This window comes from Homo sapiens, chromosome 9 (genome assembly GCF_000001405.40).
Source record: "Homo sapiens chromosome 9, GRCh38.p14 Primary Assembly".
Lineage (NCBI taxonomy): Eukaryota > Metazoa > Chordata > Mammalia > Primates > Hominidae > Homo > Homo sapiens.
Window position 1 is genome coordinate 84,707,649 of NC_000009.12, and position 26,992 is coordinate 84,734,640.

The 26,992-nt window shown below is 38.6% G+C and overlaps 1 protein-coding gene across 38 annotated transcripts in view, besides 2 other annotated features; it reads left to right on the forward strand.

Annotated features, from left to right (window-relative positions):
• The window catches only part of NTRK2 (neurotrophic receptor tyrosine kinase 2), a 358,533-nt gene that overhangs the window by 39,127 nt on the left and 292,414 nt on the right, over nucleotides 1-26,992 (forward strand). For 36 of the 38 annotated variants that reach the window (XM_017014751.3, XM_017014753.3, XM_047423432.1 and 33 more), the window contains 5 exons: nucleotides 196-264; nucleotides 2,989-3,143; nucleotides 15,925-16,061; nucleotides 16,576-16,708; nucleotides 20,006-20,311. In XM_017014751.3, coding sequence (XP_016870240.1) covers nucleotides 196-264; nucleotides 2,989-3,143; nucleotides 15,925-16,061; nucleotides 16,576-16,708; nucleotides 20,006-20,311 — 800 coding nt within the window. The remainder of the gene's footprint in view (nucleotides 1-195; nucleotides 265-2,988; nucleotides 3,144-15,924; nucleotides 16,062-16,575; nucleotides 16,709-20,005; nucleotides 20,312-26,992) is intronic. The other 2 variants (NM_001291937.2, NM_001369546.1) reach the window with 1 other exon arrangement.
• Nucleotides 533-1,451: an enhancer, noted in NCBI's record as "OCT4-NANOG hESC enhancer chr9:87323096-87324014 (GRCh37/hg19 assembly coordinates)". NCBI's record gives its function as "activates a minimal SCP1, AML or CMV promoter by ChIP-STARR-seq in naive and primed H9 embryonic stem cells {active_cell/tissue: H9 hESC(naive and primed)}" and the evidence as "EXISTENCE:reporter gene assay evidence [ECO:0000049][PMID:30033119]".
• Nucleotides 2,065-2,124: an enhancer, noted in NCBI's record as "active region_28509". NCBI's record gives its function as "activates an Ori minimal core promoter by ATAC-STARR-seq in GM12878 lymphoblastoid cells {active_cell/tissue: GM12878}" and the evidence as "EXISTENCE:reporter gene assay evidence [ECO:0000049][PMID:35858748]".

Consider the following 26,992-nt stretch of genomic DNA (forward strand, 5'->3'; position numbering starts at 1 on the left):
AGAAAAAATTATAGACAAGGTTAGAGGAAAAACTCAGCTATCACTCTAAGTGAAAGAGAGAGAGATCTGGATGTAAGTAAAGCTTATATAATGATCAAATAAAATTATATTTTGAAAAACAAATCTCTATTTGAATACTGTGTTCCTAAAATGTAACATTTTAAATTCATGTTTAATGTTTTTGATTCCTTTCAGCAATTTTACCCGAAACAAACTGACGAGTTTGTCTAGGAAACATTTCCGTCACCTTGACTTGTCTGAACTGTAAGTAATGATTTTGTGTGGCATTTGGGGAAATGTTTTCAAAGGAAGGGGTAATTAAGTATTTTTCTTTTAATGAGTGATGTTGCAGATCTATTTTTATACCAAATTCTCAAAAAATGATTTCTCAAGTTTCAGTCTCTCAGTCTTTTATTCCTTCAAGGTTTATTATCTCTCATTTTTAAAATTCAGTAATTAAAAAAAATAGAAATCTCAGTAGTGACATATCATTTCTGATTCATTTAAATGTTGATTTTACATAAATAATTTCTGGTACAGGGAAAAAAGAGAAAAAGAAGGGGGCTTTGTGTGAAAACGGCTGTATGCTTTATATCTCACAGCTCTGGTTTGGTTCCTGTTGGATCCAGGCCCTAAAGTCAAGCAAACCCATTCAAGGAGGAAATAAAAATGGGCAAAACTCTGCTCACTTTTGTCCATCTTAAGGATAGGGGACATTGGAGGAGAGGTAGTTGTTCTCTCTCCCCACCCATCTTTGTGAGATTTTCTTCCAGATCTGTTATTGCATTCAATATTTATTTTTAAGTCCCATTTTCTTCTGTTGTAAAATGATAGAAAACGTATTGAAAGGTGTTGATGACTAACAGCCAGGATTTCCAAGTGAGCTCCATTCCTTGCATTGTCCCCATTAAACAAATATGAACTGTTGCTATTCTTATGGTAAGGCACCTCAAAGCATCCTAATGCAGAGGCTTTGTGGGGCAGATGTGGGCCCAGGAAGAGGCCTTTGAAGATTAGGCAATGGCATTTGCTTAAACTCTATCTTGCCTGAATTGTGGAGTCTTTTTATGAAGATCCATCCTTATTCACAAGGAAATTGTGCAGATTGGAAGATGTCACTGCTGGAGAGACAACAAGTTAATAGGTGTAATGGGTGTTATATGGTGAAAGTCTTGGCAATTGAGAATTATTTGGAATAAAGTGAATTCAGGACGTTGAAGCACTAATGCTTCTAACACAGGAATAGGCATGACAAACTAAAGGAAGATACATGAGATAGGGTAAAGTACTTGGTGTAAAAATTTTGGGCAACATTGTGTAAAATTTTCTTGCTGGATTAAAAATTAGAGTTTCAATTTCAAATTTATGTCTCAATATTCTTCTTGAAGCATATTTAATCAATTAATTCAACAAATGTTAATTGTGTACCTATTACAAATCAAAATGATATGGCACAGGGCCATGGGGATAAAGGGAGAAAAGTTTCTATGTTCCTGGATTCTGTTATCCAGTGGGAGAAGTAGAAACCTAAAGATAAAAGTGTAATGTGCTGTCATAATCATCGAGCTTGCATAGTAAGCTGGAGAAAGAAGCCAGCTGTGCACCAGTGTTGTGTTGTCATATGAACATTGCTGTATTCATAATTGAAGCATTCCTTTCCTTCTTTATCCCTTCTGCTGAGTTAATGATATCTTCTTTTAGAAAGACTCTTTAGTTTTGCATGTACTCAGAGCTCCAGGAAGCATTTTGGATTAGTGGGGTTTAAACTGGTGGTGGGTCTTTTCTGCATTCTATTCCATATCTCATAACATCAAATCCCATTTTGGTGTTGGAGGGATACTTGGAGGCGATCAAGCAGACACAAATTAAATGAGTCTACCATGACCACATTTTCCCCTAAGAAACTCCTGGAAAAGTCTCCAGGGATCCCTGAGATTCTTAGAACCCAACCAGAAAACCACAGGAGTAAATGATGTTGCAAAGCCCAGGTCCTGTCTTCACGGAAATCTTAAGTATTGTGGTTAATGCCAGGCAGAGTCTATGTAACGATTTTAAATGGCCTCATTTAAAGGCTCATTACCATAAATGGAATTCATCTTAAATAGGCCACTGAGTATTACAAATAAGCATTTAAAGATTTTTTTTTCCTTGTGGTTTTTATTTTCCTCTTGACTACTTCCTCTTTTACCCATTGCAGGCCACAGGAGTCCAGGCAGCATGGCTGAGGTCTGAATGGCGGTGGCTTTCCACCCACAGTGGTCTAACGCAGCTCAATCTGCAGCTCAGTTGCCTTGCCCTCAGAATAGCTTGCTCTGTGTGTGTGTGTGTGTGTGTGTGTGTGTGTGTGTGTGTGTGTGAAGGAGGTCTACAGCTTCCTTTCAGGTTCTCTCTCTCACCTTTACTCCAGCTATCTTGAATCAATGAAACTGACTGTGATTGTATAATGCAGAAAGCTAGGGGTGCCAGCCTTCTGGCATTCACAATTTAGTCTTAGCTTTGTACTTACAGTCTCATTTTAAATTGAGATGAAATTGTTCTGCCCCCTGCTGAAGTTTGAGCTTAGAAAGTGGTAACACTTGAGCCTTTAGCCTGGTCAGAAATAAGTATGTTAGCATTCCTGAAAACTTCTTGTTGGCATCCTTTTAATAACTCTATAATAACCATGATAAATTTGTCATGGCACCTTATTTTCCCCATGTTATGAGATGTTCTTTTCTATCCTATATTTTGGCTATTTCTGTCTCTATCTTGTTTCCCCTGTTATTCTGTAAGGTCTTCTATCATTCTCCAGTGCTGTCTGCATATAGGAGATGCTCCGTAAGTATCAGATAAATGAAGGAATAATAAGTACTGTCATGCTATGAAAGTGGTATGACTTCCAAGCATTGCTGGCTAGAAAGAATTCATAATGTTGTAGTATTTTACAAGCACTAATGTAGCTAAAATGGAAAAAGGAACTTGATCTGTTGTCATTTTTGTTCCCTGTAGGATCCTGGTGGGCAATCCATTTACATGCTCCTGTGACATTATGTGGATCAAGACTCTCCAAGAGGCTAAATCCAGTCCAGACACTCAGGATTTGTACTGCCTGAATGAAAGCAGCAAGAATATTCCCCTGGCAAACCTGCAGATACCCAATTGTGGTAATTTATTTTTAAATCAATGTGTTCTAGTTGCTATTAATTATTCTCATTGCCTTGGTGCGGTAGTCTGGGAAAATTACCACTACCTGGATTGTATATAGTATTCTGTTGATGTCTCCAGTGACTCAGACAACATTTATGTGCAGTGTGGAGTAATCTTTGCAAGTAGAATATTAATTCAGAGTGGATGGCTGTAAAGTGCATAGAGAAAAAGTACACTGCTTATTCTTTTTGTTTGTTTGTTCATTTGCTTATTTGTTCATATTTGTTTTTCCATCTATCCATCCATCCATTTATCCACCCATCCATCTGTGCAAAAACTATCTGCTAAAAGTGTGGCACTTCTCTGGCCACATATACCCTTGGATGGCACCCAGGCCAAGGATCTCAGGGTGATGAAAGTGTCCTGGCAGCACAAGCAAATCCAATTCAATCCAGCACATTCCCTTAAACTTGTCTTACTGCCAGAGGTCTGTGTCTCTTGATGGGGTGCCCCAAGTCTGCCATGCCACGTGCTTCTCCCCATGTCTGGATTTAAGATCTCCTACTTTACCGTCATCCCCTATTCCTCTTCCCAGCGTTTTCATCTCCAACATTTAAAAGGGCACCGAATGGCAAAATCAGAGCTCATGTGAGTGCTAGTGAGTTATAAGGAAGGAATAGCAAAGTGTTCTGCTTAGGATTTTACTAGTCTTCAGTGATGTACCTCTACAATACCCACACATGCATGTTACTACCCCATTGACATTTGAATCGGTTAGTCAACCAGTTAACAAGTTCACAAACAATTATGTTTGATCTTCTGGCCTAGTGGCTGGTGACACAGCAGAAAGCCATGTAGCACCTGGTTCTTGTGCACAAGGAATCTGTGTATTAATCACAAACAACCGATTCTTTGTTTTCGGAAGACGCTATTATTTGAGGTCTATTTTTTATTTAAGAAAAATGGAGCTGCTGCACACGCTTTGTAGGAATGCGATAAAAATAAAGATATGAGTCTGTTTCTTACCCTGAATGACCTTAGAAGACGGCCCTGACCCTTCCCACAGATTTTTCTGTCACAAATAGAGTCCTTTGGTTTCATAATGGGGGAATAAGGCTTTATTCTCTTGCCAACCTCTGTCAGTTTTCTTTGCTAGCTAACACTTAAAAAATAAAAAAACTTTTAATATGTGTCTTTTCCTGATTGATAAGAGGGTAACTGTTCTCTGTTCTGGTGCAAATTTGTACTGCTGAGAGAAATTGCCTAGAGGGACAAGAAATTCAATGTTGAGTCACCTGGCCTTTTGGCCAGCTCCCAAATCCCCATGGCAGTTGTGGCCACATTGGTTCAGCAACCACTGAGAGGAAAAGAGAGAAAGCATCTGACTCTTGCTCTGATTTCACAAACTGCCTCTTAACAGACGTCTGCTTTGTCCTTGCCTGAAACCAATTTCATTTTTTTCCATTGTAATTTTTGGTTGTGTTGTCTTGGCAGCATTCCGGGAATGCACCCCGCCTTACGTGTTATTGCTCGGCCATTGTGATTGGGATAGGGGACGTGTAGGGAGTGAACTGGTCCTCATTTTTCCTAAACAGTTTGTCAATTTTCAGTCATTTTTTATTTCTGTTTTCTACAAATTAGTCAATGAATTGTGTGTCTAAGAGTGAGGTTTTGAATCTACTGTAATGAGGGCATGGGCTCAATTGATCGATTAGGACTGAATGGTTACATTCACGGTAACATTCACAATTCATTTCAATGTCAAGGATGCTTTTCAAAAAGCAACATTATAGAAGAGTGTGGCAAGTGAATCGACAGACTTATTTTTCCTATCGTTTTTGTGTTCTTAACTGTTTTGTTCTTTCCCTTTTAATTTTTATTCTCTTTCAAGTGTTTTACTTTTTATAATTGCATGTATTATATTGATATGTCTTGTTGCAAAAGTAATTTCCTACATTACACATATGATGTTTGTCTTTTTCTTGCCTAACCATTTCTCCTAACCATTTCAGGTCAGTAGTCATAGATCTGTCATATTCTTTTTAACCATTACGTGAAATTCATGATACAATGTGTCTTAATTAATTAAGTGTTCCATATTGACGAGCATTTTGCTTATTTTCCATTTTTTCAATACTGCAAAAATGTTTCAGCAAGCATCCTTATTCATGCTTTTTACACATATGTACAAGTGCAAAGTTTTTTCTAGAATACACAGAAAGAAGCAGAATTGTTGGTTTATGTGGTTTGCACATGAAAAAATGGCTGTATCTATTTATGCCCACCCTAACAAGGTATACCTTGATATTAGCAAACTTGTTAGTGTTTGTCTTTCTAAAAACTGCTGTCATGGCTTTTGAGTTTGCATTTTCCTGATTACTATTGAGTATCTTATATGTTTATTGGACTGTGTTTATGCTTCAGTAAATTTCCTGTTTATATCCTTTGTCTATTTTTCTGTAGGGTTTTTCTGTTTCTTTACTTTCATTGTTCTTTGTTTTTTCTTAATTGTTTGAAAGTGATAAATATTCTCTTTTTAAAAAAGTCTATAATACTGAAATATTTTCTGCACAAATTTAAATATGTATTTTCTGCATAGAGATAACCACCAATAAGGCAGAAAAAATATTTTTGCTTCCCTTTACTTCTCCTCCCAGCTCTCAGTTTGTTATCATCTGGGATTTTATTTTTGTATTGTTACCTGGCTTTTTTGAAGATGTCATATTTCTTTGTATATCATAGACTTTTGTGTCTTACTGTGTTCTTTTGGTGTGATTGTTCTTTTTGCTGGAGTATATCTTCTAATACTTCTTTCATAGAAATTAAAAAAATAAAATCAAGTTCTTGGGTGGTGGGAAATTGGCCTGTATTTTTTCTTCTCAGTGGAATTTGCTGAGTAAAAAATTATAGGCTCAAAAACTGAGAACTTTGAAGATATTGCACCATATTCTTTTTGTATTGAGTGTTGCTGATGAGAAGTCTGAGGTCAGTCTGTTGCTTGCTCTTTCTAGGTAAACTGTGCTTTTTATATTTTTTCCCCTCTAGAGGTTTTGAGAATTTACTCCTTATCCATGTTATTCTTAAATTTCACCACAACGTAACTAGATGTGGGTTTTTTTTTTTTTAATTCTGCTTATTGTGAGGGATACCTTTTCAATGTGTGGGTTCATGTCTTCAGTTCTGGAAAATTTTTCTTATTGATTTGCTCTATGTATTCTTTCCATTTATTCTTTCATTCAGGAATCGACATTGGATAGATATTTACACTTTTGGCTCCACCCATGCTGGCCACCTTTTCCTTAGTAGTTTCCATCTGCTTGTCCTTGTGTACCGCATTATGGGAGAATTGGTTTGCTCATTACTTAGCTTTTCAGCTGTTTCTCCAGCTGCTGATTTTTTTTCCTTTCAACCACTGATGATCAATTTCCACAATCTCTCGTGAGTCATTTTTTTTGTGACTGAAATGCCCTTCTCCATACGGGGTTTGCTACATCAGCAGGGAGTCCTGCAATCCTGCCTCTACTTTTCGGTCCTTTGAAAGCCTCACTATTTTGTGAAGCACATGGTTATGTGTCCACTTGGGGCTGTACTGCTTTTCATTAATCCTCTTCTGCTTTCTCTCGCTTAGGAGTTCTTTATAGTTTCTTCTCCATCAGCGATGTGCCTTCTCACTTTCCAACTTTGTTCTGGGTTTTAAGAAAAATATTGAGTATCACTTCTGGATATCTGGGATAAGAAAGGGAGCCTTCACTTTGGGGCTTAGTCATGTATTAATTTTCTTTTGATGGTTTCCCAACTTTGGTTCTTTCAGGAGAAGTTATAATCTAGACAGAAAATGACACTAGAATGTTGGATTTAAATTCTCTGGAATTCTGTGTTGAAGAAACCAGATAATAATACGCCAATATCTTCAAGTTAGATAAGTCTTCAAGTCTTGTTTGAAAAAAATGAATTTATGGTCAGCTGGCTTTTTCTTTTACATATACTTTAAAAACACATCTGTTGTGTTTAAGTCACAGATTTGAAGTTCATCTTATTTCCACACTTTTTTTGGGGGTAAAACTTTTTAGCTAACTCTGAATCAGTGAAGACCATGGTCTTGTGTGTGTCATCTTTGTAAACCAACAATTTGCCAACTACTGTGGCCATTGTATTTAGTTTGCAATTGGTACTATTTTTATTTCAATGAAAAAGAAGAGCTGCTGAGATTTTATTTGTTTGTAAGATGAGTTTTCTTTAAAAGTTTCCCTTGTTAGTATTTCATCATAGAGATATTATATGGAGAACAAGTTCTCTACATTTTATATGCAAATATGCATATTCCATGGTGCCTGCTGTACTCCTTGATCATAACAGGCATTTGATGAAGGTTTGCTGAATTAACAAATGCATGAACCATATCATATTAATGTTCATATTGGACCAGGTTTTTAATATAATGGTGTGAACGTTTCAGTTAATTAAAAATAACTTACATACATTATTTTAGCCAAATTATTCTATAGTTTAGTATTTTTTCATTATTTTTGAAATTTTTATCTTGATGGCATTTTTGAGAGAGTCTCATTTCTTCTTTTTTCTTTATATCCTTAGAGATTAATCGAGCATGATAGATGGGGCTGGGAAGCTTAACTGCATCATTCTCATTAATAGTGCAGTCAAAATGCCTCACAATATTTTTCTAACAGTCCCCTCCTGCTGTGAATTACTGTAAATTTATTCATGCTGTAAAACAAGTGGTGGTTCATTTCTTCAAACGGCCCTTCTAAACCTTAGAAAAACTTTGTTAATTGCAAGGCAAGAGAACATTTTCATATAACATTTCCACATTAATTGGAATAGAGAGGTGCTATGAGCAGTGGTTCTGAAGACTGAAACAGAATCATGTAAGTGCTGGTGAAGAAAGCTGATTTGGCCAGGCTGTGCTGATTATCATCTCGTATAAAAAATCTCCCTGCTACTTCTTCAAGTGTTTCTAATGAAATTATTTATCACGTAGTATTTTCTTTTTAATTTCTGCTCAATTCCTGCACACTTAGATGATTTTCAGCAGTTAGTCTTGCAGTAGAAACCTTTCAGTCACCTCCCCTGGCATAATGGGATTATTAAGGAGAAGTGGATGTTATATTTTAATTTTAAAAAATACTATCATTATTATTTAAATCTTATCTGAGAGCTTCTTCAGCAAGTGTTAATAGTACATGAAATGCTCTGTCTTAAGTTGATGGCAAATACATTTAAGAAAGGCAGTATTCCTCTGGGTCATATCAAAAGAATCCCTGCACCTATTTTACTAGTAACTAGTTACCACACAGAATAATAGTCCCACAGTGAATATAAGGTGGCAATTCACTTGTTGGTTGAAGAACTGTGCAGTTACTATATAAACCATCCTTAATGGTCCCATGGATTGAAATCAGACTTGCCTTTGATTTCCTTCCTATTTATTAGGACAATTTCAGTTTTCCACTTTTCCAACCTTCCAACTTTTAATGTAGAAGCTTTTAAAGGCACATCGACAAAATACTATTTATGATAGTGAAGGTCAGTTCACAGGTGCCCAGGAGGAGAGGCCGGGTTCCTTGAGATAAATTGAATTTAATGATTTATTTTTAAGAATTACTTTTGGTTTCAACCACAGTTTGTAGCACATATGTCTGTGTAGCATATTTGTACATACTCCTTCTTTTGTTCGTGTTGAACCAAGAAAATAGACTGGTAGTAATTCTACTTTGTTAACACTCCCAGATTAAAAGAATATGCTATATTAATGCTCTATGTGGAAGTTAGAGTGATATGAAACATTATTTTCTTAGCAACTTAGTTGGATTGGCTTTCTTTCCTGAAAACCACACACAAAGGCTATTTTAGTGTACTGCTTTGGTTTAATTTTCTTAGAGATCAGGTTTTATCTCCCAAATCAAGCAAACCACACAGTGGATCGTTGTTTTTCTTTATCTTCTTAGAATGTCAAATGAAGTTGTTTTTTTCTCATCTGTCAACTGCTGTTTAAATTTTTGTGTTTAGAAGTTATGTAGTACCTGTCACTATTGTGACATGGCTCACATGTGTTTAGAAGTGCAGTTTCAAATTTGAGCTTGCAAAGTCATTTTGCTAACTTTCTGTCATTTTTCCTACCAGGTATAAAGCAATCACTTCTAAATAGGTCAGGCTCATTTTGACTTCATTCCTGGTTGTGGAATATAGCTGTTCAGGAGGCAAAGAACTTGGAAGATATGACAAGGAGGTGGAAGGGTAGAGGGGAAGGTTATAGGGTTTTAGTATTCTGTTGAGAGAGAATTAAGAGATAGGTCAAGTGTTTATTTGTTTTAAGTTCTGTTATGTGTGCACAAATAGAAGTGAGAGGAGAGAAGGCAGAGAACAGACAACATTATAATTTACTTGAATACTTTTATACATGTGGAATGATGACCCAACATGAAATGAACAGAGCTCAGGATCACTGAAGCAAGCTGAAAACAAACACAAGCAAGACCTACTGGTGATTACTAAAAAATGTTAGTAAAACCCAACCTTAACCCATCTTATTTGTTGCCAAACTGGGTTAATCCAAAATGACTAGAGATTTGTTTTTCCTTAAGAGAAAGTGAGGGCCTACACACTTTGAATGAGTGATTGAAGCACCTAGTCAATTTGGTCAACTCTCAAGAAGTATGCACTAATAGGTGGAAGCAGAGACATGGAAGATCCCAGCAAAGGAGGCAGCCAGAATGCTCTGGTTAAGGCCCTGGACAGACAGATGTGGGCCAGGGCCAACCCCACTGACTAGCTATTTAGTCATAATACTTGATAGCCTTAACTTCTTCATCTGGAAATAGAAATATTAATGGCACCTACTTTCTAGGATATTTAGGATGACTGATAAGGTGATAAATGGAAAATATTTAAAACAGAGTCTAGCACATACTAAGTACCCAATAAATAATAGCTATTACTATCATCAACAAGAATAGTTAGATTTAAATGTATTTTACATCTGAATTTAAATATATGTATATCTTATATTTTGTCAAATTGCTTGAAATGAAAATAAAGCCACAACAAACATTACAATCAAAGAACTGATTATGTACTCAAATCTGCTTGGGGAATGTAAGATCAATGGAATTCAAATGGATTTCTTTATAGCAGGAGTTCTCAGAACTTTTAATTTTCTAATGTGCATTGTGAACATCCAGAGCTTCTTACAGAGCCTCCTTCTCCTTCTCCTTCTCCTTCTTCTTCTTCCTCTTCCCCTTCCTCTTCTTCCTCCTCTTCTTCCTCCTCTTCTTTCTTCTTCCTTTTTTTTTGTAATCTTGGATTTTTTTCCCTCTAGAATCTCAATAAATTAGAGTTCTATAAGACACACTTTGGGGAAAATTTGATGGACAACTCAGGTCCATATCAGATTTAAGAATAATAGTTGTAGGAACAAAAGCCCTTTGAACAATTGCCCGACACTTATGGTCTAAATCCCTGTCCTTCCAAGTGTGTTCTGTGGAACAGAGAGTTTGCTAGAAATGCAAATTCTTAAGCCCCAACTCAGACATATTGGAAAAGAAGCTACATCTTTAACAAGATACCCTGGTGATTCATACACACAATAGAGTTGTGTGTATGAATATTCTTACACACAACTTTGTGTGTAAGCTTTGGTGTAAAGAAAAGCTTTGGGAAGCTTTGGTGTAAAGAAAGTCAACATTTTCACTGCCTGGTTGATGATTTTCTGCTGAGGTCTACAGGCCAGTACATCCTTCCTGAAGGAATCCAGATCAAGAGACATTTACGCAGAGGTATCTGTCTGCCTGAGAAGCTGGTCATCTCCGATCTCCAGCGAGGTTCCCCAGAGTGCAAAGGAAGACAGCTGTAGGGCTTAGAGTCAGGATCCTTTTACAGTAGAGCTAGCAGCTCTTGGAAACGTTGCTGGGCTTTGCTGTGTACTTGTGCTGATTTCAAATCTTGTTAAGCCAAGAAGTAGTGCCTGGCAAATGGTTGATCCTGCCTTGGCTATTCATGCTTCCCAATTCATTTTTATTGTGCTAATTAAACCTCGAGTGGTATTTCAAGTACAGATTGTTTTTTCCATTATTGAATCTTTGGCCAGCATATTAACGCTGTAGAATTAACATGAGTCAGATGCTTACTTATTTGTGGAAGACTTTACATTTAAAAGATCAAGACTTGGCCAATTTTGCTCAGATTCCTTTGGAAACTGCGATGACAGGGTGATACAATTTCTCTATAAATAAAGGAGACTCACTCTTCTACAGAATAGACACGTAATTATTTTTAAATGAAATAATTCCTTTATCAAGGAATCATAAATACCACTTTATCAGTGGTATTTATGGTCCATGATGAAATGGATATGTACAGCTCGGGAGGTAGTGGTGAAGACCCTGACCTTTGAGTTCAAATTCTAGGTCTATATGTACTCGGACAATGTTGAATAATGTATTTGACTTTTCCAAAACTCATATACTTCATTAATTAAATGAGGGCAAAATACTTATCTTCAAGATTGGTTCTAAGGATGAGATAAAACAAGGTACTAGGCAAGAATATCTGGTTCAGTGAATGCTCAATAAATGATAATATTAGTATCACTATAATTAAATGCTTTTAGAGCTGTTAATTATGTAAGCTTGAGTTTGAAAAAAAACCCACATTAGATTTTATAGGAAAAATTAACATTATGACATAACATTTCCTACTGAGAATCTCTTTATTTTAACCTTTCTCTCCTCAGAATTTCCAAACTATTAGATACATTTATAAAGGTAGGAAATTCATCCCATGGGTTTGTACTTGAAATGCCAAGGTGGGTGTCTTTAGGCTTCATCAGTGGGGTCTGGCTATGGAGGGGGTCATACCTTGAGAACAAGCACCATGACGGGCCTTGACTCTGATGGTCACCCCAGAGTCAGCAGATAAATCTATAAATATAGAAAGTGGAAGAGTCGGCTGGGCACGGTGGCTCATACCTATAATCCTAGCACTTTGGGAGGCTGAGGCGGGTCGAGTGCCTGAGCTCAGGAGTTTGAGACCAGCCTGGGCAATGTGGCGAAACCGCATCTCTACCAAAAATACAAAAAATTAGTCAGGGGTGGTGGTGTGTGCCCATTATCCCAGCTACTCAGGAGCCTGAGGCACAAGAATCACTTGAACTCAGGAGGCAGAGGTTGCAGTGAGCAGAGATTGTGCCACTGCACTCCAGCCTGGTTGACAGAGCAAGACTATCTCAAAAAAAAAAAAAAAAAAAAAAGGGAGAGGGAGAGTCAACAAAGCACAAACACTTGCAAGCTGAAAAAGCAGATGGTTGAGTAGTAACTGACTTAAAGGGTGAGAATACTGGTTACCAAGTTGACAATGGAGAAAGCCAAGGGGAAACTTGGTTTATATGGCAGAACTACTACAATGCTTAGAGTGTGAGAGTACAGGGAACACCAAACACTGTATTGGTTGAAAGTCGGCTAAGCCCAGGTGACTGCACCTCTCCTGCCTCAGCAGAAAACCGGAGGCTTAATTCTCTAAAGTGGATAAAACAAAGGTTCTGAGAAACTACAGATAGAGTGAGGCCATGGGAACCATAAAGAATATGATGGATTTACATACTGAATATTAATATTTCCAGACCTCTTTCTCCTCCAAGCAGGAAATTGGAAGAGCATTATTTGAATAATTTGACCACCCCCTTCCTCAAAATGATTTCATGATCCTGACATCAGGTGGTACCTAGTAAATTGGCCAATAATATTGTCCTACAATGAAGATGACAATTCATAAATTTGTGCGATGTTTCTAGTACCCCATTCTTAAAGATGTATGAATAGCCAGACATAATTGAGGAAAGCTTATAATTGAAAGATAAACACAAAAGCACCAAAGAGAGAAAGAGAGGAAAAAAATGCGAAAAACAAAGCTGATATAGAGAAAAGAAAAATTCAAGAAATGATTATAAATATATGATAGAAATCGTAAGAGACATTGCATCCATGGAACAAGAAGAGGGTGCTATAAAAAAAGAACACTCAGGAACAAAAGAAGGGCCTTGGGAATAAAAAATTGACAGAGGAATGAACAACCTTAAAAGGGGGCTTTAAAGGTTAATCTAAAAAAACTCCTTGCAAATAGAGCAAATAAATGAAAAGTTGGAAAATAGGAAAGGATTAGAGAATTAAATGGACTATCTATAAGGTCCAACCTCCAAACAATAGTTCTAAGTGGTAAGAAAGCATGTGTTATAGTTATATTGGCACATTTTTTTCCTTTCATAGTGGTACATATAACGGTGTTGCAACCTGTAATTAATACCATTTTAAATTTGATGAAATAAAGTAAGTATTGCATATTAGATGGTTCTGGTGTTAGTAAGGCTTGCATACTCATAATACTCATAATAATCTTTTTTTTTTTTTTGAGATGGAGTCTTGCACTGTTGCCCAGGCTGAAGTGCAATGGCGCGAGCTTGGCTCACTGCAAGCTCCGCCTCCCGGGTTCAAGCAATTCCCCTGCCTCAGCCTCCCAAGTAGCTGGGATTACAGGCACCCGCCACTGCGCACGGCTAATTTTTTGTATTTTTTAGTAGAGATGGGGTTTCACTATGTTGTTTAGGCTGGTCTCCATCTCCTGACCTCGTGATCCACCCACCTCGGCCTCCCAAAGTGCTGGGATTACAGGCGTGAGCCACTGCACCCGGCCACATACTCATAATAATCTTTATGTCTCCATTGAGACAATTACAGCACATGAAAAAATGTGAAGACAGAGTATGTTGAATGTGGTGGGGGCCATGGGGAGGGCTGGCATTCTGTGTGTAAGCGAGCCTATATTTCATCTTCCACAGTGGGAGGTCAATAGATACTGCTGAAACAGGAAAACCAACAAGTAGCAATAAAGAATGATACTTAGTGATGAGCAGAGCAATACCAAAAGAAGAAGTTAAAAGAGATGAAATGGGTGCCTCAGGGAACAGGAAATAGTGCCACATGGGTAAGGTGGGACTACTGTTTTTCACACATAGTAGCTTGAATCTTTTTCGTAATTTTTATAGAATTATCAACTCTTGTGACTAAATATTTGATTTTTGAAAAACAAAATTAAGTATATACATATTTTTAAAAGTCACCCAGATTATGCCATTGACTTCAAGGAGATTTTTCACTAAGTAAGCCCATTTCTTCTATTTTGCCTTGACATGCTCTGTAATAAACTGAACAGCTTAATTGTCATAGAAGTTGTGAAGAAAACACATTGAGAAAAACAACAGACTCATCTAAGGCCACAAAGTTAGTATGTGCCAGGTTTAGGGTGTGGGGCTTGTATTACACTCTGTTAATCATTGTTATATATTTCATTGCCCTGTATAACTCTGGCTATTAGGGGCTTTTTTTTTTTTTTTTTTTTTTTTGAAACCCCATGAAAGATGTAACATTGGTCTCTATTGGATGCTTACGGGAAGGAAGAGTTTGGAAGGGGGGGTCTCACTAGCCCCTGAAAGCCAGATCTTATTGGGGAATCCTCTCCCAGTGGTGGGATAACCATGAAATATAGACTGTACAAATCTTATTCCAGTCTGATTTCACTAATAAAGAAAGATGGCTTTGCCGGTAAGAATACATGATAAGAGAAAGGTTTATCCATAATAATGTGAAGACGAAGGGTCAGATATTGCCAGGTGGGTGGGTTAATTGCAATTTAACGGCTGTTGAAAATGAATCGCCTTCTTTGACCTCCAGGTTCTGATCTGAGTTAATGATGTATCATAGTTCTTCAAGACATAGCTGTCGGGTGACTATAGTCCCAAGCAGAGTTCCTGACACCAAGAGAGGGACAGGCTCCACTAGCAGGTCCTGACATATTGTTATACCCTCTAAGACATGCCTACGTGTAAAAATTACCATGATTCTTATGCAGTTTAAAGCAGTGTCCACACTCAGTTGGTGTGATAATTTCATGAAGTGATAGCAGCATCCCTAAAATTACACATAGCTTTTGAAATATAAAAGTATAAAAATGATGCTTTGCTGGACTATTAAAAATGTTTATGAGGTTCAAAGTTTCATCTGATAAATACATTCTCAGAGTCTTTCCAATAAAAAGAACTTTTCACTGAAATGAGTCCAACCCATTTTCATTATATTCCAAACAAGATAGCAATTTTACCTATAATATTTAACTATGATTTATATAACTTTGAAACTTTCTAACACTGCAATAGTTCAAACTGCTTGTCTTTGAAAAATGCTTTGAAACTACATTTTCTTCAATAGAATGAGTCTTTCAAAATCTGTGTCTGGTAGAGGGTTAGATTTGTGAGAGTTACTTAAAGCAAAAAACAGATTTTTGCAAAAACAAAATAGGTGCATCTCACCCTTTTGTGTTCTTGAGCATTAGTAAAAAATGGGGGGTAGGAGACAGGAGGAAATAAAAGACATGATGTCAGTCCTTATGTACAATCTCTGTTTATGTGCAAAAACTGGATTAGTAACTGTAGAACAGGAAAAGAGGTGGAAGACAGTTCTTTATACTAGTGTTCTTGAAATAAAAGGTTATTCGGCAATAATGCTTTAAGTAATGTGCATAATTTATTTTGAAATCTAATTATAGCTTTTTTTGGTTTATGTTAGATCTATGAAGCTGATCAAAGTAGCACTTTTTCAGATCAACAGAAATCAGTCTCAAAAAGCAATTAAAGATTGATTTTTAAAGCATAAACAGTTTTCAATTTATTGCTTTTATTTTGATACTGCATTTAACTATTTGCATATGCCTCTGTTTACTTTTCTTGTTCCATAGGTTTGCCATCTGCAAATCTGGCCGCACCTAACCTCACTGTGGAGGAAGGAAAGTCTATCACATTATCCTGTAGTGTGGCAGGTGATCCGGTTCCTAATATGTATTGGGATGTTGGTAACCTGGTTTCCAAACATATGGTAAGGCTTGTGTTTGGCTGTGTCTTAATAGAGAGACAAGAGTGTTTCAGAATGCGAGAATGTATTAAACCTAGTGATGATCATTTGATATTTTATAAGGCTACATATAGAAATTTACAAAGAGTTTTTGATGTACATTCACTTTCTACTTATTCTTAATTAATAAAGACTAATGCAGGCTTGCATTTTAGTTATGCATACCTAAGAGAGCGAGGAGTCTCTATATCCCTAGTGAGCTCTTTGTATCATCCTGAACAAAGCGAGTGACTTTCCCTGTGGTCTTCTCCCTTGGAGGGAATTCAGGGATCAAGTCAACCTCATGCACTTAGCAATTGAAACCTAGAGAAATAGAATAACTTCTGATTTACTTCTTCGCCTGAGCCCAGTTCAGGCAGAGAAGCTTTTCTAATGCTATATATACATATTTTCTCTAGTTAGGGGAAGAAACCCCAAATCTTGTCACTTTGGGATCAATCCTAATCAAGGTTATTTTTGTCTGTTAATTCATTTGTAGAATGAAACAAGCCACACACAGGGCTCCTTAAGGATAACTAACATTTCATCCGATGACAGTGGGAAGCAGATCTCTTGTGTGGCGGAAAATCTTGTAGGAGAAGATCAAGATTCTGTCAACCTCACTGTGCATTGTACGTAATCAGACTGGCATGTGTTTTTAATAGCAAATGATCATGGACGTACCTACGTTTGTTGCTGGGGCACTCTGGGTGCTGCTTAAATTTGTTAAAAAAAGTATATGCAGTGTTTTGTGCATACTCTATTAAGAAACATTATCAGCCTCTTTTACTGTTCAATTTCTGCTTAATAACTCTTGCTCATGCATGTTTTTTCTTTTAAGCTTCTTTTTCGATTTTGAGCTTGTCATTTTGTGCCTTCCTCTGTCTTTTTTCTGATAGAATATACTTTGGGCTGGTTGCTCCCTCTGGTTAATGTTTTAGCTTAAATTTTCGTAAATCAGTTTCTAAAACTTTCTTCCTCTATAAAAGCAATATGATGCTTTAAAGTTATGATACCTAAAGTATTTACTAGCTGTTCACAAATGCCTAATTGTACTGTTGATAAAATAAAACCTCATTCTTTTGTTATCAAGTTTCTGTGAGAAGGTAGGATTAGTCCTACTTAAATTACTGAAAATTATTATCACCGGTAGAAAACTTTTATTATTATTGTTTTAAATTTCTGTATACATTGAATCTAAGTTCAAAGATATCCCTCTTTTTAATTAAACATAAGTACATTGTTTTTCAGTATTGTAACTAATACAATATACATTTTGAAATTCCAAATTATGGCTTTTAGCATGAAGGTGTATATTCAGTAAAAACTATATAGACACTTCACGTCATTGTAAATTCTGAGCTGGCACGGTATAAATTAATGAGGTTTTACTCTATTTGGATTAGAATTTGGATGAGAAAAACATGAACATGCATGTGTGTAAGTGTATGTCTGACTTACACACGTGTAGACCCATGGCCATAGCTGGTATCAATATGCTGGTTAACACTCACTCATAGCACACATTCAGTGTGTGATTGCTGGAGTGAATGATTGAAATCATCAGCTGTAATCCTTTATCATTGTTAGTACAATCACTATGCCCAGTGGGTACTAAACTCATAATTTCTCATCATTTTGACCCACTCAGAAGCCTGAAGTCAATGTTATCTCCAAACATATGCAAGCACTTTCAACTGTATGTCCTTAAATCAGCACCTAACCCAAAATTCATTTGAGCATGGTGGAAGGAATGATGGGCCCTGGGTGTGGGGACCTGGGCTGGTGGGAGGAAGGTAAGTGTGGCCCCTGCCCCACTGTGGTCCTTGTAGTGGTTGGTTCATAGCACAGGTCTACAAGTGTGTGTATCTACACATGTATGGACCTTATTTTGTGTAATATATATATATGTACATTATATATATTATATATATATTATGTATATATATATGCATATGTATAATATATATAGGGTCTCCCCAAATTATATTTTAATTGAATTTTTATAGATGAAGTCACATATTAAAAACTTTTGTTTTCCAAAGACTATTTTAAGGAGGCCTGTGAGAGATATTTGGTAAAGCAAACAATTAAACTTTGCCCATTTAAATTTAGTAATATCACATTTCTCAGAGTGAGGGACATAGTCACAACATACATGTGCAGAGTTCAGCTGCACAGGTGCTCAGTTGAGAGGAATGTCACTGGTAACTGGAAATCTTTCCGTAAATTATGAAAGTGAATTGGGTCCTTTTATCGGCTTTGCTTCTTCCTAGGTAGTACTGTGGGAGGATTTACCTGAATACAAGTAAGGGGGTAATATCAGATTACCTGCTTTCTATTAAAAATATCCAAACTTGAGTTTTTTTCTCAGTTTCAGGTTAATATCTGTATGGTCACTAGGCTCTGAAAAATTGACCTTATCTGTCATAGTTTAGACAAAGAGCAGAAGCAATAAATTATAAATAATATTAACAACTGGCTGGGTGTGGTGGCTCACGCCTGTAATCCCAGCACTTTGGGAGGCCGAGGCGGGTGGATCACTTGAGATCAGGAGTTCAAGACCAGTCTGGGCAACATGATGAAACCCCGTCTCTACTAGAAATACTAATATTAGCCGGTCACGATGGCAGGCGCCTGTAATCCAAGCTACTCGGAAGGCTGAGGCATGAGAATCGCTTGAACCTGGGAGGCAGAGGTTGCAGTAAGCTGTGATCGTGCCACTGCACTCCAGCCTGGGTGGCAGAGTGAGAATCTGTCTAAAAAAACAAAAAACAAACTAAAAATATTAACAACCAAGATAACCAGTGCAGAGACCCCACTCAGAGGGTTTGTCTGTTCCCTGGCTACAATACCTTAGATTTTTTTCTCCTCTTGTTTGATGAACACATACAGTCAAGAAGCAGTGCCTGAGAGGGAAGGGCCACTGTATTAAACATCAGGATTCAAGATTCTTGTTCCAGATCTGCCTTGCTCAGTAACCTTGATGAGCTCACTTAACCTCATTGCACTTTGGTTTCTTCATCTGAAAAAAATGATGCTATTAGATCTCAAAGGTCTTTTCCAGTCCTTGATTTTGTAATTACCAAAGCCAGACTACATTAAAATGAACAGATGAAGCATTTTAAATACCCTCACTTAGGATAAGTACTCTGTTTAAAAATTCTACTTGATAATGTTTGTTTCCCCAAAGCATAAAGTGCTTTATATCTAAAGTTGAAATAATCCCTACTCTGTCCAGGCTTAGATTGGACCCCAAACATTTAAAAGATCTAAACATTGGCATCTAGGATCCTAGCAAAAATGGACAACACTATCATGAAATGTGATACTTTCAAAGAGTATTTACTATTGACAATCAGTAATAAATGTTGATTTGTTATATTTATAATAATTCATCATCAGCAGCAACATTTATTGCATTGATCAGTTTGATCTGTTTTCGAAGTTATGTGAGATCAGGGCTTCAGGCAAAATTTTAAAAGTCATTTTTGTTATTTAGGAAAGAAGTGCTATCAAAAAGTATTCATTATTTTATTATTTTGAGTTTTTTTGGTGATGAATCTGTATAATATCAAGATACAGATATTAGAAACCAAAGTCAACTTCAAATGAACTCTTTCCGCTGTCAGAAATCTCTTGGATCTGTTTGGAGCTGGTTTTCACTTATACTGAATAGATTTGAGAAATGACTGTAATGCAGGGGTCTTAAGTAGAACAGAGAAAGGAGTCTCTCTGAAGCTCTCTTTGGGGAGTTACATCCACCCTGATGATGATACAAAATACTGATGGATTCCAGAGTTTCTGATGATGTGTTTTTCTAAGCCAAACAATGGTTGAGTAAAATTCCCTATCAATGACACAGACATCTCGAGATGGGGAGAATTCTGAGCTTTCTGATGCTATTAACTCTCTCTTTTTCAATTTAGTTGCACCAACTATCACATTTCTCGAATCTCCAACCTCAGACCACCACTGGTGCATTCCATTCACTGTGAAAGGCAACCCCAAACCAGCGCTTCAGTGGTTCTATAACGGGGCAATATTGAATGAGTCCAAATACATCTGTACTAAAATACATGTTACCAATCACACGGAGTACCACGGCTGCCTCCAGCTGGATAATCCCACTCACATGAACAATGGGGACTACACTCTAATAGCCAAGAATGAGTATGGGAAGGATGAGAAACAGATTTCTGCTCACTTCATGGGCTGGCCTGGAATTGACGATGGTGAGTAACTGACACTTTTGTATGTGGGGAGAAGATAAAGTCTATCATTCACCTGTTGACAAAATCATGTATACAATAAGCCATCCCCCAACCTAGTGGCTTAAAACTCCATTATTTAGTGTTGCTCATGGATCCATAGGTCAGCGGAGTGGTTTTATTTTGCATGTATTTATTGTGGAATTCAGGGTCATGAAGCAGCAGCTACATAGGAGATGTGCCTGTTATGATAAGTGTGGAGTGAAAGAGGACAACTGCAACGATGTGAGGCTTCCTAAGGCCTAGATTCAGGGCTGGTGCACTGGACTGTCTCTTCAGCTTATCTGCCATTGGCCAAAGCAAGTCACAGGGCCAAAGCCAAGTTAAGGGGCAGGGAGTTGTACTCCTCCCAAGAAGGTGATGAGGAAATTAATAATTTTGAACAGTTATCTGATACACACTGGATTAATAACTACTCCAGGATGCTTGGGTATCTTATGAGAAAAGGGTTATTATTATTATTTCCATCACTGTTGCAAGTATTTAATGAGATTTTGTACCCACAATGGCAAAACCCATGCAAAACCGCAAGCGCAGGAACTGTGTATGGTTGGCTCGTGATGCATTTAAGATTTATTTTCTAGCCTCTTACCTAATTCAAAAAGGAGAATTCTGGTTTCTCATCCATGGATGAGAAATTAGTGTCTTGGACTGTTTTGCTTACCCGGGCTGACTGAGCTGAGTGATTCTTTTATTGGCTCCGGAGCTGTTTTCCTAGGAGTGGTAATAGTGCTTCTCTGGCCAAAGGCTAGGACTGCGGAAAGGATGGCTAGCATCAGGGGTCTACTCTGGGCACAGCAGGAGCGTGTCAGTGTGAGCTTCAGGAACAGTGGGACAAGTGTCATGCATTTACCTGCTTCAGATGCTGTCCTTCAGTGGAGTGTTCTTACCTACTCAGTCTCATTGCCCAAATGCTTGCTACCAATGTGGTGGCCAAGGCCTGTGTTTGGATGTTGGGAGCTGTACATGAATAGAGTTCCTCATCAGAGTAGCTCTGAGTCAGTCAAAGTCATGCAAAGATGACTTGGTGGAGAGAAGGGAAAATAGAACCCTGGGGAGACTTGTAAGGCAGGGGCTGCTTGGGCTGCATGTACCTGTGTGGCTCCCAGGGCCCCCCCACCAGCAAAGGTGATCCATGCAAAGCCATCTCTGCAAAACAATAAACAAGAATGCAGTCCTTCTCATTACATGATAAGTTCCTATTATTTTGCTCTTCACTAGACCTCTTTTTAAATGCACAAGCTTGCTTAGTATATTCAAAATGTGATTTGGAATATGTGTTTGATTTATAAACAGTAGCCCTTCAGGAGCACATAAAACAAGCAATATTTGGATGCAAAACCCAGACACCCCTGGCTGTTGCTGTCTTTTCCATTAAATCTTCCTCTTAATTGAGAGTTTAGCTGCTTGGCTATGGTTGCTGCAGTAAATCCCTAGCTTGCAGTGTGCAGGAAGTCATGTTTGAGGGAATAATAGCTTCACAGTTAAATCCAGAGACACTGATTTAGGACAGTAGCTTTTTGCTTGTTCTTACATAAACTTTTTATTTCTGAATAATTTTAGATCTGTAGAAAAGTTGCAAAGATAGTATAGAGCGTTCACAGCCTTATCACCTCCCCCACCATTGTTAATATCTTACATTACTTTGGTACATTTGTCACAAATGAGAAACTAATATTGGTACATTACTAACAACTGAACTTCAGACTTATTTGAATTTCACCAGTGGCCCTTTGAAACTCTTGGGGGCAAAACTTGATTCAGAGTGAAGGTCTGCAGTGAAAAGCTGTCAGAAGTGGTCTGAGTCTTTTGATATCAATGCACAGTACTGTTGGTGTAAAGCCAGTAGCTTCTGTTTTGGAAAGGATTTTGATGTCTTTCCTTTTGAACATTTCTATATGGTACTGATATTTGGTAGAGCTGAACTCTTCTTATCCATGTGGCCTCATTTTCATTGATCATTTCTGCTAGTTTTTACTTAGCTTGTGATGGGGAAGAATTGTTTTCTGGTATAAGAATAACTTGGTGCTTCTCAAACATTCCCTTTAAAAGAAATAATTATTTATAAAAAATACAACTTAGGCTAAATTTTATAAATATGTTTCCTCCCCTTCTTTCTTTCCATCTTCTTGTTCATGAATTTATTAGGTCCTTAAAATATTAATAACTGCTTTCAGAAAAGCCCGTTTTTTTGTTCTCTTTAAGTATTTACTTAAGTGTCAGCTATCAAGGAGTAATAAATGAAAGTGGAAATGAAGGAGACTTGGCCCAGGGTGACAGTGGATATAAATGGCCCTAGTGGGCCATAAACCAGTGTGACCGATTAGAGATTGACCCCACTTGGCTTGGGAAATAGAATCGTTGTGGGTATTTATGAGACTCACAACCATAGCACACAGACAATGACCTTTCTTAGAATTGCTTCCTTTCTCTATTAACCTCCTTTAAAACTAAAGAAAAATAGGCCGGGCGCGGTGGCTCACGCCTGTAATCCCAGCACTTTGGGAGGCCGAGGCGGGCGGATCACGAGGTCAGGAGATCGAGACCATCCTGGCTAACACGGTGAAACCCCGTCTCTACTAAAAATACAAAAAATTAGCCGGGCGTGGTAGCGGGCGCCTGTAGTCCCAGCTACTCGGGGAGGCTGAGGCAGGAGAATGGCGTGAACCCGGGAGGCGGAGCTTGCAGTGAGCCGAGATCGCACCACTGCACTCCAGCCTGGGCGACAGAGCGAGACTCCGTCTCAAAAAAAAAAAAAAAAAAAACTAAAGAAAAATAAACAAATAGCAAAAAAAAAAAAAAAAAAAAAAAAATCCCTGCTTGTCTAAAGTACTTTCCAAGTTAACAACAGCAGGTCAAGTTTGGCTTTATATTCCATTAATATTTCTACTATTATCATATGATAATTGATGAAGAAGTTTAGCTCTCACAAATATTTTTTATAAGAAATTTCAGCTACTTTCTCCCAGTTGTTTTGGTAAGATCCCCCCCTTCCCTTTTTTTATTTGTTATATTGGAAGTTTCCCGGCTTACAAGGAAGCAGGCAGCCTGGGCTCACTGTGAAGCTAGTTGCATTTCCATACAGAGCCATAATTAATGTGACATCTCTGGTGTCGCTTAGCGTATGTGCACCTCATTCAGCTTAGAGCAGATTTCTGCTCGGGCGCGCTGGCTCATGTTTGTAATCCCAGAACTTTGGGAAGCTGAAGTGGGCAGATCGCTTGAGCTCAGGAGTTCAAGACCAGCCTGAGCAACATGGCAAAACCCCTTCTCTACAAAAAAAATACAAGAATTAGCTGGATGTGGTGTGTGTGCCTGTAGTCCCAGCTACTCGGGAGGCTGAGGTCAGAGGATTGCTTGAGCCTGGGAGGCGGAGGTTGCAGTGAGCCATGATCGTGCTACTGCACTCCAGCCTGGGTGACAGAGCCAGATCCTGTCTCAAAAATAAAACGTAAAAAATAATTTTTAAAAAAGAACTAAGATTTCCATGGGATGGTCATTTTGCTTAGGAACTTGTTTTTGAAAAGAGAGAATAAAGACTATTGAAAGAAACTGAAGCATAAATAAACCAAAAGTCTCCAAAACAAAAATTGGTGAAGAGGAATGGACCAATTGGATGTAATGACAGTCCTCATAACCTTTACTTCCGCTTGGGATGCAGACACTAGACGAGGTGGCAGACACTCTGTTCTCTACTTGGAGGAAGGATGGGGAAGTTCGACCTCAAGACAGCGGCAGCCCAGTCCAAGGGGGTGCCAGTCACAGCGTGTGAGGATGTGAGGCAGGCATTAAAAGAGAGCGGCCCAGCAAACCAAGATCCCCGTGTAATGTATCTTGAGAGTGCTGGGCCTTGCAGACTCTGCCATTTCCCCAGCCAGCAGGCTAATGTGGAAGGACAGGTGCTAGCAGATCTTCAGATGTCAGCAGGACCCCAGACACCAAGCCAGCGCCCTTCCCCATCTGTTAATCACTGGTAGCCTGGCTAGTAACTGAGAAAGAGAAAAGACCTTCCCAGACTCCAGATACTAAATCGATCACTTTGGGTCCCACATTTAAGAATTGAACTTAGCTCTGGTTAGTTTGGGATTGTGTTTAAGGCAAAAAATGCAAACTTTCAGCTTCAAAATGAAATCTAGAAAACCATGATGTTTCTCTTCCAGCACACTGAAGAGTACAACTTGTGACAATCAGACTACAGGAGTTTTATGTTACTTTTGTTTTCCATCATGTCTTTAAAATCGATTCAGTATGAGAGATCTTCCCTGGTTCCCAGAACAGTAGCTTCCTGCCCCTTGTTGCACATTTGAATCAACTGGAGACTTTTTGTCACTATTTTGTTTGATTACATTTTTAAATACACATTCCTGGGGCCTAGCTTTAGCAACTCAGATTCCGTGGCTCTGGGATGGGAGTTGGGCTTTGGCTTTTTTTGTTTTTAAGGTCCCTAGTGATTCTAATGAGCAACCAGGAGTGAGCCTCACTGATTGGAGGAGAACTCTGAGCTGTGTAACATTTTTCTGCTTTTGATTGAGTGACAAACAATCCTTTGGTTATTTTCAGCTGCAGATAGAATCTCAATTGAGAAATGGCATGTCCCACCTGAGCTAGAAATGAAAACTCTGGATTTGAGCTCGTGGCCAGTCTCCTGTCCTCCCCAAGTTCAGGCTGGCAGTATGGGGTCAGGGATGGAGTTTGTTGAAGTTTCAGTGTCCCTGCTGCCCAGGTGAAAGGGGGTGGAGAAGGAGATGACAGGGTAGTTGGCTCACTAGTGGCTTTGTGCTCTTGGAACCTGGGAATGTTCAATGCTGATGTGCCGACTTTCTTTCCTGGATACCTTTGTGGGCTTTTGGAGATTTCTCTCTCTGTATTTCCCATGACATGAACAAATGTGCCTCTGCTCCAGCTGGCACAAGCAACTCCTAACTCCAGGAAAGTACTTTATGTTGTTGGGGTCCCTCAGCAGGACCTGACTCCCCACAAAGACTTTCTCCTGTGCTGCCTCTGGACTGCAGGGGACACTCATAGTCTCTTGTCCCCTAGGTGTACAGGTCAAGCCAAATGCCACCTATACCCCATGGCTGCAGGTTTCTTTCACCTTCTCTGGCAAGGGTCAGGCCTTGTCCTCTGAGCCATCCGTTTGCAGAGAACATAATTCAACTCTCAGAGTGGTTCCATGGAAGCCCCTTGGTGGGGTGGTGTCAGAGCAGCACTTCCCTAAAGAAACTTCTTTATAAATCCTTCCTTGTTCTCTCCTTCCGGGGATATCTTACACTCTCAAGGTGAATCAGACATTTCCAAGGACATAGGTCCAGTTCTCAGCCAGTTCCTTTGTGATTTCTGCCTCTGAGTGCCTCACATCACTTTGGTATAAGTTACTGAGGCAGGAAGAGTCTCACTTAACATCCTATTATGCTAGAATCTAGGGATTTTGAACAATGTGCCAGCTGTCTTTGGAGGTATGAGAAACAGAGGGTCCTGGGCTACCCCTTGCAGCGAGTTGTAACACTTGAGACAACGTAGACCCTACCTCTTAGGAAGGTGGCAGGGGTGGGGTGCAGGATGGTGGGAATAAAACACAGCCTCTTGCCCATATAACAAAAGACACCCTAGCCAACCATAAAATATAAAAGGTGGAGAAACACTTGGCTGCTTATTCCTGTCCCCTGTTCCTCTTTGAGGTTGCCTTTATTCTGGTTGTAAGACATCAGCTTCTCATTCCCAGGGATGTCCCTGCCTTGATATTAGGCAGGACCCAGATGAAGGTATGCAGAAAATATAGGCAATGGAGGACAAAGACACCTCTTTAAATCTTCTTTCTTGTGGAAGCCAGGGAACAGAGACTATTAAATGGAATAGGTGGAACCTCTAAGATTTTACTTCTAATGAGATAAACTTTCACTTATTCTCAATTCAAATGACTCATTCAGATCTGATGTTTGAACTTGGAATCCTGAGCATAGTTAGCCTCCACTTTCCATATTATTTAAAGAGCAGCTTTGCTGCAGTGGGAAGGGTTTGGGTTTTGAACTCAGATCTGATTCAGTCACAGATCTGAGTTCCATCCTCCATGATCTTTGCGGCTTTGAGCAATTTTCTTAACACCTTGGAGTGTGAAGCGTGACTTTCCTTCTCCATAAAGTGTAGGGTTCTAGCCCCAAGTAGAGGCCATCTGCCTGTCATGTGTCAGCCCCAGCTTAGAAGGTTGCCGCCTTGAGGCTGAGCATATCTGAAGTGCCGATGCAGTGCCTGACACATGATAGGCAGGTGCTCAGTGTTATTTATCCTCTCCTTAGGTAGGCATTGAGAATATGATAAAGGAGGCGAACATTCCCCACCTCCCTTTGTGTTTATGCCCTGTAGCCATTAGGGAGCAGCTTTCTACCCAGAAATGCTTTTATCTCAGACTAACTCTGCCCTTCCTTATTCAGAAGCATGGGCTTGCCCAGAAAAAGGATCTTGAGACTCTATCATTTTACTACCTGAGCTTTCTAGACTTGGCCCTTGATATGATTTGGCTATGTCCCCACACAAATCTCATCTTGAATTGTAGCTCCCATGATTTCCACGTGTGGTGGGAGGGACCTAATGGGAGGTAATTGAATCATGGGGTGGATTTTTCCTGTGCTGTTCTCATGACAGTGAATA